The 20,489-nt window shown below is 40.3% G+C and overlaps 1 protein-coding gene across 7 annotated transcripts in view, besides 2 other annotated features; it reads right to left on the bottom strand.

Moving 5' to 3' along the window:
* GRIP1 (glutamate receptor interacting protein 1) overlaps positions 1-20,374 on the bottom strand; it is a 721,908-nt gene extending 701,534 nt beyond the window's left edge. For all 7 annotated transcript variants that reach the window (XM_047428622.1, XM_005268757.5, NM_001379351.1 and 4 more), the window contains exon 1: positions 20,086-20,374. In XM_047428622.1, coding sequence (XP_047284578.1) covers positions 20,086-20,143 — 58 coding nt within the window. In that variant the 5' untranslated portion in view covers positions 20,144-20,374. The remainder of the gene's footprint in view (positions 1-20,085) is intronic.
* Positions 18,416-18,922: an enhancer, noted in NCBI's record as "H3K4me1 hESC enhancer chr12:67461160-67461666 (GRCh37/hg19 assembly coordinates)". NCBI's record gives its function as "activates a minimal SCP1, AML or CMV promoter by ChIP-STARR-seq in naive and primed H9 embryonic stem cells {active_cell/tissue: H9 hESC(naive and primed)}" and the evidence as "EXISTENCE:reporter gene assay evidence [ECO:0000049][PMID:30033119]".
* Positions 18,923-19,427: an enhancer, noted in NCBI's record as "H3K4me1 hESC enhancer chr12:67461667-67462171 (GRCh37/hg19 assembly coordinates)". NCBI's record gives its function as "activates a minimal SCP1, AML or CMV promoter by ChIP-STARR-seq in primed H9 embryonic stem cells {active_cell/tissue: H9 hESC(primed)}" and the evidence as "EXISTENCE:reporter gene assay evidence [ECO:0000049][PMID:30033119]".

Here is a 20,489-nt window from a genome sequence, read left to right on the forward strand (position 1 = left end):
CAGACATGTACTCCCACACCTGGCTAATTTTTTTTATTTTTTGTAGAGACAGGGTCTCACTATGCTGCCCAGGCTGGTCTCAACACCTGGCCTCAAGCAATCCTCCCACCTCAGCCTTACACAGTGCTAGGATTACAGACACAAGCCATTGCACTCAGAACCATGCACCGTTCTTAGAACATACGTGGGATCATATATGCATACTGTTTTGTAATTGTTTTTACTTAATTCTGTTTCATAAACAATTTCCCATGTCATCAAATATCCTTCATGACATTTTTCATGCTAAGAGAATACCATAGGAGGTAAAACCATAGACTTTGAGGACAGGTCTAAGCCCAAATTTTGCCTCCGACATCTTAGCTATAAGACTTAGCTTATTTTGGCACATATACACCATGGAATACTATGCAGCCATAAAAAAGAATGAGTTCATGTCCTTTGCAGGGCCATGGATGAAGCTGGAAGCCATCATTCTCTGCAAACTAACACAGGAACAGAAAACCAAACACCGCGTGTTCCCACTCACAAGTGGGAGTTGAACAATGAGAATACATGGACGCAGGGAGGGGAACTTCACACACCAGGGCCTGTCAGGGGTTGAAGGGGATGGGGAAGGAGAGCATTAGGACAAATGCCTTATGCAAATGGGGCTTAAAACCTAGATGATGGGTTGATAGGTGCAGCAAACCACCATGGCACATGTTTACCTATGTTACAAACCTGCATGTTCTCCACATGTATCCCAGAACTTAAAGTACAATTAAAAAAAAAAAAAAAAAGACTTAGCTTCTTTAAGCCCTTTGCTCATTGATAAAATGAGGATAAAAATACCTATTTGAGATGAATTGTCACTTAAACTAAGTGAAATAACATAATTTATAAAACAATTAACAGTATGGTGATAATGGATGCTTAGTATTTGTCAAATTAATAAATAATTGGTAAAAAAAAGTTGTTTTGTTTTAATTGGCATTTCTTTGCATTTTTTGCGTATTTGAATTTCTTTTTTTTTTTTTTTGGTGACTTGTCCTATGTCAAATGTTTACATCTTTTCCTGGGGTGATTTTTTCATTGCTTTGAATTCATATATGTATTCATTCATTCAGCAATGATTTACTAAAAGCTACTATGTGCTTATTTTATTATGATATTAAACTTTTGTCTTTTATGTTACAAATGTTCTTCCAAGTTTACTATTTGCCTTTTAATTTTGTTTATGGTAGGTTTTGATGTATAGAAATATTAAATCTTCACGCAACTTATCCTATTTTCTATTTTTTTATAACATGCTCAGAAATTCCTTCTTTGCCCTAAGGGGATTCTTCATTATTTGGAGTGGAAAGAAAATAAAGCTGTCTTAGGCCTGAAATGAAGAAAAACAAAATAATTAGATTGATATAGGACCAGCTTTATAAAAGGTTCATTTTACACTGTAATTCATTGTTTAAGGGCAGGCCTACCATATTCACATTTGTGTTTCCAGCAACTAGAACAGCATATGACATGTAGTAGGGCCTCAATAAATGCCGAATTTGCTCAATTGGAAAAAAAAGAGCAGAGTTTAGAGGAAAGATTTTAATTAGAATAACACTACAGAACGGCAGAGAAAACATCAAGAAAGTTCAAAATCAAACATTCTAAAGCACTGATGTTCTTCTGTTGTTGAGGGAATTATACCTGCTCTTAAGATTTTTTTCAAGTCCCAAATGTCACTACTACTCTATGGTAGCATTTCTCCATGCATGTTCTGAACTACATTACCCTACAAGATGCTCCAGTAGCAAAGGTGTCCTATAACCAAATAAATGTTGCAACCTCTGCCCACTGCTTTACCCCTTTTCCTCAACTCACCCACAATCAAGAGGCACAATGAACTTTCATATAAACAAACACTGAGGAATTCTGCAGGTACCAGTTTTCACAGAACCTAAGGTCAGAGTTTGTCTGGCATGTCCAGAAAGGTAAGAGGAAACTACGGGAATGTCAGGACCTAGTAAAAAGCTAAAATCAGTATCCTGAGACTTAGGCAGATACTGAACAAAGCATGCACTTGGGACATAGTAAAAGAACAACGGAGGAGAGACAGACCAGCAGAAGACATTCAAAGATGTTGGCAAGACTTAGGGTATATGGTGTTGTGGGCAAGAAGTAAATGTCAGCATCCTGAAAAATCAGGTACCAGACACCAGGAACATAGGCAGAGCCTGAACATGAAACGGAGGGACTTGGCAGCAACATCAATCCCAACCACCAAGATCGGGGCTGGACTACAACCTGTGGGATGCCCATGGATGCTAGTCACTTGCTTCCTAGATAGGCTACTTGTTCAACATTCATCTACTAGAGGTAGGGTCAATGCACTTTGCAGAGAGATTTTTTTTAATGTCCACTATGATAGAAGAAGTTTTACATGAAGACTTGAATTAACTAGCACCATGTTCCTAATTTTTTTCAGTAATGTGTAGCACCCATGTAGATTGATACTCTGGCAAAAGATTCCGTAATCCTACTGTGACTGAGACTGAGTATCAAATGGAAGAAGCCATCAGCGAAGACCTCAATAACAAAGGAAGTTCCCCAGGAAGGGGTTCCCTGTATATTTTGTGTTGAAAGATTCAGCTGAACTGGGCTAGACAATAATACAGTGGGGTCAAAGAGGTAAAGCTAGTCATGAGTGGAATGGAAGCCAGGGAGCTCCTAATGGCTGTAAATAATGCAAGTTTCCAGTAGCAGAAGAGATCTGAGCTGGCAAAACGCATCCCGTCAGATCCCAGGTTAGGTTTGCCACAACCTCAGATCAGAAAGAAGCTTTGCTGTTTTTTGTTTGTTGTTTTTATTCATTAGCCATTAGTTGAACTGTTGAAACAAAATCCAAATCATCACATCTTTGCAGGTTCTCTATACTGAAAGAAAATAGTTTAGTATCTTTATTGTCTTGGTTTAACATATATTGAAAGCCTCACATTGCACAAAGCTATTCATCAAATGAAGTCACTGACAGGAAGAGAACTGGAAAATTGTGACTTAAAGAGCCTGAGGTCAGGCTGAACCACATATCAGTAACAAAGCAAATGGAGGCATATTCTTTAAAATCAATCCTTTATCCAGGTATGTATTATTCTATGACACGTTTGGAGGCCTTAAGTCTGACACAGATTAGCCTAGATAAATTTCTGGGTTATATTCATAATCATTTTTTCAAATATTTTTAACAAGAAGTTATTGTGTTACCAAATATTTATTTTAGCATGAGAAACTGGCAAATGTCCCCCTCCCTCAACCATCTTCATGAGACACAGGGATCTCCAAACATCCTGGAACTCACCTTCTAAAATGACCCTCAGGTAACTGCATCATGTGTAATAACAAGAAAACCTGGACATTGTTTTGTATAGGATCTTGTAATTACTACATTATTGTCTAAATTTTACTATTCTATATATAGCTATCATTACTGGTGGCCCACTCTTGACAGGTATTTTTACAGGTAGTCTTAAAATCTTTACAACAGGCCGGGCGCAGTGACTCATGCCTGTAATCCCAGCATTTTGGGAGGCCGAGGCAGGTGGATCACAAGGTCAGGAGATGGAGACCATCCTGGCTAATACAGTGAAACCCCGTTTCTACTAAAAATACAAAAAAATTAGCCGGGTGTGGTGGCGGGTGCCTGTAGTCCCAGCTACTCAGGATGCTGAGGCAGGAGAATGGCGTAAACCCGTGAGGCAGAGCTTGCAGTGAGCCAAGATCACGCCACTGCACTCCAGCGTGGGTAACAGAGCAGACTCTCTCTCAAAAATGAAGGGAGGGAGGGAGGGAGGGACGGAGGGAGGGAGGGAGGAAGGAAATCTTTACAACAACCCTGAAGAGTAGGTATTACTATGGTTATTTTACAAAGGAAGAACTTGAGAAGTCAAATAGTATGTTCAAATCTATAGGACCACTTAGTGTAGGAATTAGACTTAGAATCCAATTCAGATTCTTAAAGCCCAAATCTCTATCCTAAAATCAAGCTTCCTAGATTGTTTTCCCATAACAGAAGGAAAAAATTATATCAGTGAATATTCATTCTTCATCCACTGCATATATCCCAGATCTAACTGACTAGTTCCATGATGAGGAATCCATGAGGGGCCTTTGATTCATTCAGGAGTCTCCCTTAGGTTAAATAGTCTGCAGGAGGAAGGGGTAGATCACTCAGTCAACAAGTATTTAATGAATGCCTGAGGAATGCTGTGCCAGGCATTTAAAAAAATGTAGTAAAGTCATAAAATTGTTATTCTGATATTCCAAAGCTGGGGGATAAGGAGAGAAACCAAGCAGATACCTTGGGAATATAGAAGTATAGAATATCTCTTTCCTGCCCTATTGTTTAAAATGTAAACTCATTTTATCCCATTTACTCATTCACTTAACAAATATTAAACATCTACACCATGTCTTGACCCATGGCAGGCAATGTGGACACAAATAAGATTATGACACGATTGCTAACACAAAAATCATATGTCAGAATAAATATCGAGACAAAGATTTTCACTACAAAACATTCCTCTACTGTTTTTCTGCTTTAAAACATCATGTGTATCCTTGGGCCGGGCGTGGTGGCTCATGCCTGTAATCCCAGCACTTTGGGAGGCTGAGGCGGGTATATCACCTAAGGTCAGTAGTTCAAGACCAACATGGCAAAACCTCATCTCTACTAACAAAAAAAATACAAAAAATTAGCCAGGCGTGGTGGTGTGTACCTGTAATCCCAGCTACTTGGGAGGCCGAGGCAGGAGAATCACTTGAACCTGGGAAGTGGAGGTTGCAATGAGCCGAGATCGCACCACTGCACTCCAGCCTGGGAGACAGACAGAGACTCCATCTCAAAAAAAAAAAAATAAATATAAATAAAAATTAAACAATTAAAACATTTTTAAAAATCATGTGGATCCTCAACAGAGGTATATTTTAGCAGAAATAATTTGAAAATTTAGACATTAAAAGGCAGTTTTCAAGGACCACTCTATAGATTTCCAGTGGTGAAAGAGAAATTCACTGCTTACCGGCCATCTACCTATTTGTGGCAGGAGAGGAGGTAAAGTTTATTTAGGTCCCCAATTCTTCTTCATCCACAATGGGAAGACCAGGCAAGATATGGAATATAAATTGTTCCTGATTCTTCTTCCCCTGAAATCAAGATGCTTAAAGCTCAAATGTAAACCCTAAAAGCAATGGAAATCTTAAAAGTGAATGCAATTATATCATCATCTGCAAATCATTTCTCTTATGCTCTTAGTAACACAACCTGAGAGATTTCATTTATTTAACAGATATTTACTAAGCACCTACTATGAGCCAAGCACTCTTCTGTGTGTTGGGGATACAACAGTAACGAAACAGATAAAAATTCCTGCTTTCAAGTGGCTTCCATTAACAATAAACAGCAGGCATATAAAATACACAAATAAATGAGTAAAATATATAGTTTGTCATGTGCGAAAAAATAAAAATAAAAACACTACAGCTGGGGGCCAGGTGCAGTGGCTCACACCTGTAATCCCAGCATTTTGGGAGGCCGAAGTGGGCAGATCATCTCAGGCCAGCAGTTCAAGACTAGCCTGGCCAAAATGGCAAAACCCCGTTTCTACTAAAAATACAAAAATTAGTCAGCCATGGTGGTGCGCACCTGTAATCCCAGGTACTCAAAAGGCTGAGACAGGAGAATTGCTTGAACCCGGGAGGTAGAGGCTGCAGTGAGCCAAGATTGCACCACTGCACTCCAGACTGGGTGACACAGCAAGACAGTATTGAAAAAAAAAAAAAAAGTCAAACCCTATAGTACTCCAATATGTAGAAATCAGGGGCATGAGGGAAAAAACACCAACAGAGACCAAGAGGGAGTGGCCAGTAAGGAGGAGGAAAAGCAGCATAATGTGATAGACCAGAGGCCAACTGAATAAAGTACTTCCAGTAGGGGACTAATTATCTCAAATGTTGCCTACTAGTCAAGTAATACGTGATTGGAAATCGGCTACTGGGTTTACCAATGTAGAGGTTATTGGTTCTCTTCATAGGAAATAGAATAGGGCACAAAAACCTAACTGGACTAGGTTCAAGAGAGAATAACAACTACTATGGAGTTAATACAGGCAAATCTCTCATGGAATTTTGCTATTAAGGGAAGCAGAAAACTGGAGCAGTAACTAGGAAAATTGCAGATAAAGAGATGCCTGTTTTTAAAGTAGATGAAATAACTTCATGTTTGTATGCTGGAAATAATCCAGTAGAGAAGGCGACCCTGGTCATGCTGGAGAGAGGGGAGAGTATGCTGGAGCCGCTCCTGGAGTGGGCCAGAGGGAATGGGATGTGGTGCACAAGTGGAGGGTTAACCTTGGGTAAGAGTACACCGTTAGGCTTCACAGCAGTGAAGACAGACTATATGGCCACAGGTGAAGCAGAAGTTGTCTTCTAATTTCTTCTACTTTCTAAGTGACATAAGAACAGGATGCTTGAAAATGACACAAGACAGGGTTGTAGTTATTGGTAATGGTAAAGTCTAGGGCAGCAGCTCTCCGACATTTTGGTCTCAGGACTGCTTTACATTGTTAAAAGTTACTGAGGACTCCCAAAAGTTTTTGGTCATGCCTCTCAATATTTACCATATTAGAAATTAAAACAGAAAAGTTTAAAATGCAAGAATATACAAGTACAAATTCCTTTAGTGGCCTCTGAAAAACTAGTATGCACTCATAACAGAATAAAAGTCCAAAAGGCAAATAATGTTTTTATATGATTATGAGAATAGTTTTGGTCTCACAGACCTTCTGAAAGTATTTAGAGACCCCCCAGAAGCCACTGGGCCACACTTTGAGGACAGCTGGTCTGGGGTGTGTCTACAGAAGTGAGGATCCCAGGTATAGCCAGATATAACAAGTGAATGACAGGACAACATGGAACTGAGAAACCAAGAAATTGGAAGGACAATTCGTATGAATATTGAAATCACCAGAATGATCTGTCTAAGGGGGAGCTAAGTTTCAGTTACAGCAAGAAGGTGAGGGGGAAGTTAATGGAAGGGGCTGAGGATATAAGGGATTTTGCTGATAACAGACAATGAGTTCTTGATAGTATAGTAGAAGGGGGGATAAGGGATCCAAAAAGGAGCCATACCATGTCTATTCCAGTTACTCTTGCTGTGTAACAAATTATCCCAAAACATAGCTTCCTTTTAAGAACCATTTCATTTTGCATATAAATTCCATGGTCATGAATTCAGACAGGACACAGTGAACATATCTAGCATCTATTGCATGATGTCTGGAGCCTTAGCTATGAAGACTCAAAGCTTGGGGTGGCTCAAAAACTGGGGCTTAAAATCATCTGAAGGCTCATTTAACCACTTGTCTGGTGCCTGGGCTAGGAAAACTGGAAGACCAGGACTGTCAACCAGAGCACCTACACATGTCCTCTCCATGTGAACTGGCTTCCTCACAGCATTGTGGCTTCAGTGTAGTTGAAAGTATGGTAGCTCAGGATTCCAGGAACAAGTGTTCCAGCTAGCAAGGGGGAAGCTGCTTTGACTTTTGCATACCAGCCTCAGAAGTCATACAGTGTCACCTCCAGCATTTTCTACCTGTTAATCAGCCACAAGCCTGCCCAGTTCAAATGGAGGAGACATAGACACTCAAGGGGAAAACTCTCCCCCAAAATTTTGAAAGCCATATTTTAAAACCAGCCCATCATCATCTGTTCAAAAGGATCAATTTCTAAACACTGAGAGATGAAACTTGTAAGAGCATTACATATGCCACTGAATAATCTTCCTGTTATGGACTGAATGGTTTTGTTTTGTTTTGTTTTGTTTGTTTGTTTGTTTGAGATGGAGTCTCACACTGTCACCAAGGCTGGGGTGCAATGGCATGTTCTCGGCTCACTGCAACCTCCGCCTCCCGGGTTCAAGCGATTCTCCTGCCTCAATCTCCCAAGTAGCTGGTATTACAGGTGCCCAACACCACGCCTGGCTAATTTTTATATGTTTAGTAGAGACAGGGTTTCACCATTGTTGGTCAGGCTGGTTTCTTTTGAACTCCTGACCTCAAGTGATATGCCCACCTCGGCCTCCCTAGGTGCTGGAATTACAGGCGTGAGCCACCGTGCCTGGCCGGACTGAATGTTTATGTGGCCCCCAAATTCATACATTGAATCCCTAACCCCCTGTGTGGTTGCATTTGGAGATTAAAGGTCTCTAAGGAAGTAATGAGGGCTAAATGAAGTCATAAGGGTGTGCCCTGATCTGACAGGATTAGTGTCCTTATAAGAAGAGACACCAGAGAGCTTTCACTCCCCTCCCCGCTCTCTCTGCACTACACCTACCAAGAAAAGGCCATGTGAGCACACAGCAAGAAGACAGTCATCTGCAACCCAAAGGTAAAGCCCTCCAGGAACCTGGCACCTTGATAATGAATTTCTACCCTCCAAGAACGTAAAAAAAAAAAAAAAAAAACTCCTGTTGTTTAAGCATATAGTGCTTTACTGTGGAAACCTGGGAAGACTAATACACTGCCCTTCCTTCTTTTTCCAGTATGATCATTAGGGTCTGGGAGGGTAAGGGTCTGAGTAAATGCAGTTATTGAGTATAGAGCCAATGCTATTATCATAATTTTATATTACTGTGAGCAATAACAACAACAACAACAACAAAACAGGGCTACCCTTTGGTGGCAAGTATCTTATATGTATATCAGCATTCAGGCTCACTAACAAAGCCAGATGAGGCGCTTTCTCAGCAGATGCAGCACTACAGGTGTCTGATTCTAGCCTGGCAAATTTTCATTTTCATAACTAAAATTACAGGGAGAAAATGTGAAATGGTAACAAAGAAACTAAACTTATATTGCCTTGTTCAAGGTTTTCATTTAACGAAAATGTGCTCTGCACATACCAGAAAATTATACGTGTAAAAAGAAACACTTGAATTCATCTGTAAAATGCAATTCTAAATGCCACTTTTTTAAATCAACAATCCTGACACGAAGAGGACAATGTGAAAATCCTTACAACTATCAAAGTTTGATTTCATGAGGATATTAGTATATTCCTCTCAGTGGTTTACAATGGAATTTGTGAGTATCAGTAATAGTAGATATAAATATCAGACATCAGAAGATATGACGGAAGGAAACCATTCACAGATTATATACCAGAATAAACAAATAAATACCTATCACATTACTGTGTTATTCTCTACTGTTTTATCATCATTGCTTTTTTAATGTACCAATAGGTGAAAACTACATTCAGTACCTTTCTCAAATGATGAACTGTGCCTTAAAAAGACATAAATCCTAGTAATTTGTGATGTCAAATTGTGTATCAGATTTTCAATTGTCTATATTCAGACAATAAATGAAAGTGAAAAAGAAACACTTCAACAGTAAAAGGAAAAGACTTATTAATTCTAACATAAATTCACACAAGAAGTCTTGAGTACATGTAGTGATCTATTCTAAACATCTTTATTCAAAATACAAAGTACACCTTAACAACACATCAACACCTAACAGTAAATTCACACTGCAATTACACTACTGACTATGAGAAGAAATATGTCGGTTCTTGTGTTCATACGTTTGCCGATAAAATACAAAGGGCAGATTTCTAGTAAAACTATTAAGTGAGAAAAGTTTATGTGCAAGGAAGACTAGTAGAAGGTGCTGTTCAAAACTACTTGTCAGCCTCGAGCGATGTCATCTCTAAGCTGTTTAACCATTTCTATTTCTTTCTTTGCTGATGTTCAAAACATAAGAAGAGTCCACCTGGCAAAGGAATAGGATTCTTGTTTTCCCCTTTATCATACAGTCACCCTCCTTATCCCTGCCCTTTACAGTTTTAAGTTTTCAAGAAACTTAAACCACTTCAGATAGGGAACAGCAAAGAAAGAGAAAAAAGGAAAGGAGGAGCAAAAAATCAGATGTAAGTGTCTGATACTCTTCAAGGATTCAAAACTCCTTGACGAGTACAAAAGGAAAGAAGAACTAACATCTGTGTATCTTTGAGGGATTTAGAGAACATTGTGGCCAATGACCCTTATCACCTAGCATGAAGGCCCCCTATGTGGCACATGCCACATTCAACATGGCATTGGACCATAGAGTGGTAATATCTGCAGAAGGTGACTAAGACAGGTGGAACTGAGCACACCTCCCAAGATCCCACAAACTCCATCATGATTCAGAGAAAACAGTTAAGCACTCTCTGGCTGCCAGGAGAGATACAGAAATGCTGATAGGACAAGTACCTAGAAAAGGCCTCGGTAGAAGGTCACAAACCACAAGGATCTCACAACTAGACACAATGGTGAGGTCCAGGAAGTCCAAATGAGCTGCCAAGATGACATTCAAAGATCAAATAGGAAAAGTCTCATTTCAGTGGATACCAGGGCACAACGCCCAGCCACCAAATGTGCCAAGTCCAGAGCAGTAGACACAGTGAGGGTCACACAATGAATGAAATGCCCTTCACCCAGGGCAATAAGAATACTAACCTTTCCCCTTTGCTCAAATGTCATCTTGGGAGCAAAGGAAGGGAAAACCCTTGAGAAATTAGAGAACCCAAAATGATTTTTTAAACTAGAGACTAATGTGTTCTTAATTGACAAGATCTAATTTTTTCCTTTTCAGTGGGAATGGAAACTTGAAGGCAAGGTAAAAGCAGTTATGGGAAACAAATTATGTTTCACTTGTATATCTTAAAAGTAGTGTGTAAATTTGTAGGCACACATACACACACGCCCATCCTTCTGAACCATTATCTCCAACCCCAGCTATATAAGTATACTCTAAACCAGTACTATTCAAAATGTGCTCTATGGACCATGCCAGTCAAGAAACTGTTTATTACCTGCCCAAGGTTACATAAGTACTGAAAATGAGAGTGGGTGTTTAGAAATACTATAGCAATTTCACATTGCCACATCCAAGTCTGTGACTAGCGAGTTTATCTCATTGAAGAGGACAAGAACAGATGCAGTCAAACTTAGGTAGTGAGTTTCACCCTGAGCATGGTGCTATGGAACCCCATGCCTGTGACAGGAAAAAAAACAGCTCTTCATTACAAAGAGTGTAAGAAGAACAAATGTAGATCTGCATGTAACCTAATACCGCCACCACTTTCAGTGCTAATACTGGGTTTTGTATTTAAGATCAAAATGGTTTATAATAGACCAATAAGAAGAGAGGACTTCCCATGTAAATGATGTGTTCATGCCTAGGAAAGACAAAGTGATATCAGACTGTCAAACCAAGATTCCCTAAGAGTTTGACTAGAAAAAAGTGGTGTTATTACTTTCCACAGCAGCAAGTACCATATTCACACTGCAAGAGGGAATTTAGTTTCAGGCAAATAATATCAAATCATATGAAATCAATGTTGTTAATTTGCATATAACTGATTTTGGGGGTAGTTTTGTTTTTCTTTTGTAAAATCTGTTTTGGCTTTGTGGTTGTACGAGAGCTATAAGCATCAGCAGTTTACATGTAGTTATATGTTAGTACATATTTAAGTAGTATAATAAAAACAAATGATGTTGGCCGGGTGTAGTGGCTCACATCTGTAATCCCAGCACTTTGGGAAGCCAAGGCAGGCAGATCACCTGAGGTCAGGAGTTCGAGACCAGCCTGGACAACATGGTGAAACCCCATCTGTATTAAAAATACAAAAAAATTAGTCAGGTGTGGTGGTGCACACCCGTAATCCCAGCTACTGAGGAGGCTGAGGCAGGAGAACTTCTTGAACCCAGGAGGTGGAGGTTGCAGTGAGCCGGGAACCGCACCATTGCACTCCAGCCTGGGCAACAAGAACGAAACTCCGTCTCAAAAAAAAAAAAAAAAAAAAATGTGTTGGCAGTGGAGAGCTGCAAGAATTTTTTCTCCCTTCAAAAGGTTCCAAACATCATTTTAATTGAGAATAATGATCTTTTGGATATTGGGTTGTCAGAAGCCTGGACTGAAAGAAGCAGATAAGTAACACCAGGGAGTGGCAGAGCCCACTCAGTATTTGAGCTGGACTTTTCCAGCTGCAGCCAGAAATGAGGCTGCCTTGGATAACTGCAACATTGTATGCATTGTAACTTTGTTGCATTACTTGAGTTATTTTGTTACAAATGGGAGTCCAAAGGGGAACCTCATGTTTGAACTTCATTTTGGAAGACTACGGATTGAAATTTTTTAATAAAAATTTCCAATTTATGAAACACAAGTTATCCAAATAATGCCTCCATCCAGAGATGGCCTGCTAATAGGCAAATGTACCTGAAGACCCTCTGTCTTTCACAATTTCTGGCCTTTGTGATATAGTAACGTTACATTAATAGCTTTCACCTCTAAGTATAAACCCCAAAGGTCAGTATGCCAAGAATCATCCTTACTTTACAGATGAGAAAGCCACAGTCAAGATGGTCGGTCTATACCTAGGCCAAATAGCCAGGGAAAATGGCTAAGAGACAGAAGACTTAAACTCCAGCTTTCTGATTTTGAGTATAGTACAAGAAGTATATTAAAACTTTATTCACAGAGTACTTAGTTGTTTTCAGAAAATAATAAACTTAAAACCCTACCCAATTGCATTACCAGGGAAGATAAATCTAAAAAATAAATACAGTACAACCATTCCCTCTCTTTCAGCTTAAAAACTCATGTAAAATTCTAAATTAGTTTTAGGAGATAAATGTACAGAATAATTATTTTTCCTTTAAGAATAGGTAATATAAATTGTATATAAATAAAAGAAGAAAGCTATTGTACAATAAGCTATCATCATGGCACAGTCTGGTAGTCCATCACTTTGGTGGTTCCTTATTTTTATATTATTCTACCACATTATGTTTACTTTTTCCCCTACATTGACCGGTGGAGTGAGGCAATAAAAAAGGCAATATGTGATAGAAAAAACACCAGGCTCTGTATCAAGATACTGGGTCTCAATATACAATTCTGATTCTAATCAGTACTTGAACCAGAGATCTACACTCTTCATGTTTCCGACATTTACCTGGTCACCAAGTCCATCTCCTGAGTAGCTGCACGGCCTGAAACAGAGCAGTAGCCTCCCACCTGCTTCACTCCCTTCCAAGTCCCTCCCTTTTCAAATGTTTCCTCCCTGCTGCCAAGATGAGCTTTCTAAGACAAAAATCTGATCCTGACACTCCTCTGTTGGAAGCCTATCAATTCTTTATCGCCTGCCAGATGCAATCAAACTCTTTAACCTGGCATACGAAGCCCTTTCCAATCTGGCCCTTTCTAGTCTAATGCTCCCATCCAGCTCCATTCCTCATCCCATAGGGGAAATGAATATTTATATTCTATGCTCATAAGTATGTTCATACTCTACACTCCATCCCCTTTAAGAAACCAGTCATGGTTCCCAGAATGTCTCATTTCACAATGCTTTGGAACATACCATGCTCCTTGCCTGAAATTCCTTTCCTTCTATCCCCTCCCAACTCTCTAATCTCCTCCCCTTCCTTCAAGTCTTTTAACACTTCCTCTATGCCACCTCCTCTGACAGCTGTCTTCAGAAACTTCTTTCTTCCCACCCACCCCCAGCACAATCAACCCCTCTTCTCTGCTCCCTCCGCATTAATCTGTACAAGAGTAGAGAAGCTGTCCTAGAGTTATCTGTCATAGCCCATGACTCTACAACTATACTTAATAATCTCCTTTAAAATGGAAACCATTATTTTCTCATCCCATCATGGCACTTTGGCAGTTGGTACTCAATAAACATTTGCTAAGTGTATAAAATGTGGTCTTGGGCACATTTCTCTCTCTACACTAGATTCTTTGTTTTCATGAGAGCTGGGCTAGAATACATCAAAGACCTTGGCTGCATCAAGTTCTATGTTTCAGTGTAGTTTTTCACAAAACATTAGACTTTTTAAAAATGTTTTATGAGGTTCTTAAAGAATAAAAATTATTGATTGATTGTTTCATCATCAGGATATCCTAAGGTGTTAACAGACCTATATAAACATACCATTAAAATGGTAGTTGCCATTACTGAACTCCAAACCATCTGCAAGGTACTATCATACATTCCTCCATATTTGTTAATTTCATTTAATCCTCACATGACATAGATATTTCTTGTCCTCATCTTAAAGTAGAGAAAACAAGGGCTTTAAAAAGTTAAAAAGCCCCTAGAGTTAGTAAGTGCTGGAGTGAATTTAAACCCAATGCCATCTGGACCTCAAATATCTCCTCATCAACTACTGTGCTGGCACTTAAGGAATCTATCTAGTACACAGACCATATCTTCTTTACATTGTATTCATCACCTCACTTGGTGCTTAAAGTTTAGTCGCTGTTGAAATGAAAAGTGGTAAGAAATTAAATCAGGTGCTTTTAATATGCAGATATACTTGAAGAACACTAATTTTCCCATAAAGCTGATAGCACCCTTTGGCCACTGACATACCTAAATGAGTAGGCTTCTTGAATAAGAAAATTTGAATAAGTAGATTTTTTATATTTATATTTAAGAATCTTTTCAATTTCAGAAGAAATGAACTTTAATAAAAGATAAAACAAGAGATTCAAACCCAGCATTTGGCTTCGCATTTGAATTGTTCTGTTAGACATGTTACTTTTTATTACTATCATTCTTGTATTTTGTATTACTAACTACTATTATAATTTAATTGAAAATAAATGAATCAAATCCTAAATGCCTTTAATAGTTTGCCATCTGCAGCATTTAATATAACAGTTTTAAAACCCATAAGATTCAATTCTCAAATTCTTTTACTAATATCAGTTGAAATTTCTTTTTCTTCATGAACGAAACCAATCAGTTGCTGCAGAAGAAAGTATTAACTGAAGCCTCTTTGTTTGACCACTGGGCTGTCTGTTAGGTAGCCAGAGTTCAGATTTTGGCTTTAATTAAATAAAATGTCGGCAAAGGACAAATATACAATGGCTGTTAACAATACAATCATTTCCCAGTTTTTCACAGTAAGGAAGAACATTCAATTCTTGTTAATGCTTGCCTTCATGGCAAATACGCTTTGAAAAAAAAGGAAAAATATGCAATAATGGCAAGTCTTTGGTGGAAAACCCATTCACTTAAATGAGTTACTTAAAATGTAGTCAAATAATTCAACTTAAAAATATGTTGAGGTTCCAATCCTTATTGTTAGAGTTAATTAACACATCTACCTTGCAAAAGCCTTGTCAAAAGTCCAAAATATACTGTAGAAGTGTTTTCCCAGTATACATAACTAAGCAAACTCTCTAATGAATTCCTAATGAAAGATTTGATGGCAGTTTATTAGAATTTTGTCCGAAAGGGAAAGATGTTACAATGTTAATAAAATTCTACAAACTTCACCTCAGGAAGTGTAACTTGACTTCTTTTTAAATATCTCTTTAGAAATAAATGCCCTAAGTCTTGGCTTTATAAGTTCTGGCAAATTCATTAGCTCTCTGAACCTCAGTTTCCCCATCTGACAGGGTGACGAATAATAACACTTACCTTACAGGCATGTTATAAGACTGTACCAAATAATGCATGGGAAACATCTAACATGGTGCCTGAAACAAAGCAGGCCCTAGATTTCTTTGCTTTCTTCTCTTTTACCTACTTTGTTCCTTGGGAAAAAGTCAAATTCCACATTGGACTTTTTGTTAAGGAGGTTGTGGGTGGGGTCACCAGATCTCCTCGATATGGGTGATTTGGGAAATGAAACAGGCCAAGTTTGTAGTAAAGGTCTACTCCTTAAGCTCCCTGTGCTTTCTCATAGATATTTTTTTATTATTATTATACTTTAAGTTTTAGGGTACATGTGCACAATGTGCAGGTTAGTTACATATGTATACATGTGACATGCTGGTGCGCTGCACCCACTAACTCGTCATCTAGCATTAGGTATATCTCCCAATGCTATCCCTCCCCCCTCCCCCCACCCCACAACAATCCCCAGAGTGTGATGTTCCCCTTCCTGTGTCCATGTGTTCTCATTGTTCAATTCCCACCTATGAGTGAGAATATGCGGTGTTTGGTTTTTTGTTCTTGCGATAGTTTACTGAGAATGATGATTTCCAATTTCATCCATGTCCCTACAAAGGACATGAACTCATCATTTTTTATGGCTGCATAGTATTCTCATAGATATTTTATAAAAGCTCTTTATTTATATCTAAAGGGGTCCAAATATCCACAAAAAATAAAATTCAAAAAAAACTAGCCAGCCATGGTGGTAACATGTCTGCAGTACCAGCTACTCAGGAGGCTGAGGCAGAAGGATCTCTTGAGCCCAGGAGGTAGAGGCTACGGTGTGCAGTGATTGCACCACTGCACTCCAGACTGGGTGACAAAGTGAGACCCTGTCAAGAAATAATAATTGCTAAAACAGAAATCTAAAGAGAAGTTCTCAGTTTCATTTGTAGACCTCCAAAACTTGTAAGAGGAAAAAAAGGCAAGGGGGTGAAGTGCTATAAAAAATGCATGTGTTTTCCCCTGGTGAATGTATATGCTAATGTGAAATGCACTTAACACACCTATATAATTAGATTATATATATTTGTTAAATCTAAATATAAAAGCAAAGGAAATGAGAAAATACAAATTAATATTTTTCTCTTTTCCTCAATAATAAAAATGCCAAAAAGTATGTTTGCAGAAACAGATAATCTTTCCAAGCATTATGGTTGATTTTCTATCCTAACTACACATTATTAAACACAATAAACATTTACTAATCAAAGGCACACAAGTAAGAAGGTATGGTACCGGCAAAAGAAAAGCATCATTAATTACAGAAGCATCTATCTCTTTATACTAAGAATTTTCTCAACAACTATTTTCTTATTACACATGATCAGCTAATAAGCAGATGTAAAACAATGAATACATTACTTAATTTAATTTGATTGGAAGAGATATCAAACAGGACAGTTTTCAGAAACATTTCTCTTCTCCTAAAACATTTACCCCAAAGTGTATTAAGTGGCTTCTAAATGGATTGGGTTTAGCAGATCAGGCAGAAAGTCAGGGGTAGTGGGTAGGATGGAGAAATGTGTTCTGAATTTTAATAGTATGTTAGCGTACATGGGTGAGTCTTAACATGTCATTTTGGAAGTGACTGCATTTACTGCAACAACCCATATGTTACAGTTTCTCTGCTCAGCATTGCATGCCATAGCAATAGCTTCATCTTGACACAGGCCTTCGAGATGAACCCGAGTAATGAATGGTGTGTAGATACGACATGAAATTACATAGAACAACCAAGCCTCTTTTTGTATGCGGCAATAACACAAAAGCATGTTCCCTCAATCTTTGAATTGAGATTGGCATGTTTTTCTTCTTTTTTAGGAATAAGGCTAAGATACATACTCCTTCAAATATGCGGTCCTCAAAGAAGCTAGCATCTTGTATTAATTTGCGTTACATCTCAAGAAGAGATTTTACTAAATAAAATCTACATGAAAAAAATGTTATGCTAGAGTAATCTCCATAATGGGTTTTAGAATGTTTACATGTAGATTGGGGTTGTGGGGAATGTGGAAAGCGCAGTGGTTTAGATGAGCACAACCAACCTTAGAATTTAATAGTAAGATATTCGAAATTGACCTTTTGGTTAATGTTAATCCAAGACAAAATTTAAAATGTATTTGTTCCATGTTCATTATTTTCCTGACCAACCTGACAGTTTAATCTTTTTGTTTATATTTAAAAGAATCCAATTCAACGTTATTTGAATCACTTAGAATTTCAAGGGTCAAGGGAAAAGCTTAACACAATTTGACCTGAAATACAAATAGAAAACATCTCTCATCTCTTTACACTGAAATTCATCCAAAAGGATAAGCCAAGCTCAAGCAATGTCCTCTGATATATGCATTACAAGTCACATAGGCAGCTCAGTTTAAATATATATTTATATATATATATATATATATATACACACACACACAAACTGAAACACAAACACCAGTTAGACAGGAAATTGTGAAAGAAACAAAACCATATATTTGTCCATTCCAAAAGAAGCAGGACTTCAAAAAGAAATGCTACAACCAAACAAAAATATATACTAATTATTTAGAAAAGCATCTCTTAATTAAAGTGAGAAAGAAGAAACCTTTAAAGTGAAAAAAGGCAAAAAGTAACAAACATTTTTTGTTTTCTCCTATTGGGGGAGATAAGGCAGAACACTCAATTTCTTACTCAGATTTTTATGCTCTGGAGGAATTTCAGTCTTATCTCCACCAAGCAGATTAGACAATCATCTTTCAATGTTACCATATATTTCCAAAAGACATACAAGTACATTTCGTGACAATCCAAAAATCTACCCACTTCAGCATTCTGATAAAACTTGTCGGAAGCATGGTGATTTTTTTTTTAAGCAAACTGATACATTTAATGCCAAGTACATTGTGACATTTAGTTGATAGGACAGTCACTCCATGCTTGACAGAATGCTTTCATGTAGTGCTTTTACCTGGTTATAAATTATTGGTACTGCTATTTGCAACTTTAAAGATATGATTTACTAAAGGGAGAAGCAGAAGCATTCCTAAAGCAGGGGTGCCTTTTGAATGGGTAGACGTAAGGTCACCTGCCAGAAAGTGTGCTGGAAAATGAATGCACATATCTAATAAGGAGGTGCTTAAAAAGGGATGAATTCCCTGAGTCATTAAACAGGATACAAACCAAAGACAGGTTGTGCCACCTAGAGAAAAACTGGAAATTGTACATTGGTTCTTCAGTAGTAAGTGTTATTCAAAAGCTTGAAACTTTTAACATGCCCAATAACCAAGCCACCGTCCATACCAGCTCACCAAACTGCTGCATTAAGCCCCCTTGACAACACTGCCTTCTCCACACACCAGACTGGCCGGCCTCCTCTGGCTTTCCTCGCCCACCTACCCACGCTGCGCCGCTTAACCTCAGCACCGGCTGTTTCCCACAGCCCATGGAGCCCCTGCATCCTGAAACCTATCCGGTTCCAAAGCACCTTCCTCGAAGACAGGACAGGACAGGATAGAAGAAGCAAAGGGATAAACCCTGGTGGACCTTGCCAGCCAGCGTTCCTCTGGATGCTAGCAGAGCCACCGTGCACATCCCTCTAGCCCCATGGGGCCTGTATAGGAAATTCTGGTGCACTCAGTACATCATATCCAGGTTACCAAGCTGAACTCCCTGGCCAACCTCTGCACCATCCAAACACCATGAAATGACCTCAACAGAACTAAGCCTTGAAGGTGCAAAAGGCCTTCAACTTTCCTCTCCGCAAGTTACTTAAAAGCAAAGTGTCCAGCACACTTGTCAAGCTGAAGCACAAAAGGGCTGCAAGGCACCAGGCAGAGAGCCGCCTTTTGCAAAGAAAATAGACAGTAATTAAGAAAAGCCCGCAGTCCTGCGGTATTAAACTGACAGCGGGGACTGCGCTGGGGCATAACTCATCTCCAAGCAGTCACTCCCAGCCCCAGACCCTGATCGAGGGGACAATCTTTCCCCTCCTCTCCCCTTCTAGAGACCTGCGGCAGCGCCCCCTTGCCTCCCCTACGCTCTTCCTTCTCCTCTTCCTTCTTTATGAATCTCCAGCAACTTTGGGTTGGCAATGCCGTCGCAGCCCAGCCAGAGGCGGGGACAACGCGAGGGTGGCCGCGGGAGGTGGAGGAAAGTTTGAAAAGTCACTTAAAGCACTGCAGGAACCCCCCTCCATGCCCACCATCACCCCCCAGCACCCACCCCACAGACGGCCGCTCGGAGCTCCACGTGCGAGCGGGCCCTGCAGAAGCTGGAGTTTCCCCTACATCCTCGCCAGAAAAAATCTTTCCCCAAGCGAAAAGTTCCCTGCTGCAGCACCACCCCTCTCCCGCTGCCCTCTCATCCCGCCCCCCCCCCCCCCCGCAAAAAAAATGAATCAGAGTTCGCAAGACGCCACCTGGATTCGCCCGCGGGCCCTGAGGGCGCGGCGCCCCTCCCCCGTCGGCGGGTGGACGGGTCGGGAGGGAGCCGGGGAGAGGGAGGCACCGGGCGGCCCCGGCCCGGACCCCTGCCCTCCCTCCCCGGCCCCGCCGCCTGGCTCACCTCTCTCCTGCTCCTCTGCCTGCAAGCAGATAGGGATATTCTTCTTCCAGCCGGGCATGGTGTCGCTCCCTGCGCTCGCTGTCGGGCTCGCTCTTTCTCGCTGGCTCTCTTTCTCCGGGGCTCTCCGCGCCTCCTCGCTCGTCCTCTAGGGCAGCCGCGCCGGGGCTGTTCAGCGGGGCTGGGGCGCCGAGGCGGCTCCCGGGCACATTGAAGCGGCGCCGCGCGCCCCGCGCTCCCCTCAAACTCGCCGGCGGCTCCGGGCGGCGGCGGCGGCGGCGGCGGCCGGGCCGGGCCGGGCCGGGCCCCGCCGGGCAAGGCTGGGGGCTGCAGCGGCGGCTGCCGCGGTGTGGCCGGGAGGCCGGGCCGGGCCGGGGGCGGGGAGCTGGTGCAGGCCGAGAGCGGGG

This window comes from Homo sapiens, chromosome 12, assembly GCF_000001405.40.
Source record: "Homo sapiens chromosome 12, GRCh38.p14 Primary Assembly".
In the NCBI taxonomy this organism is placed as follows: Eukaryota; Metazoa; Chordata; class Mammalia; order Primates; family Hominidae; genus Homo; species Homo sapiens.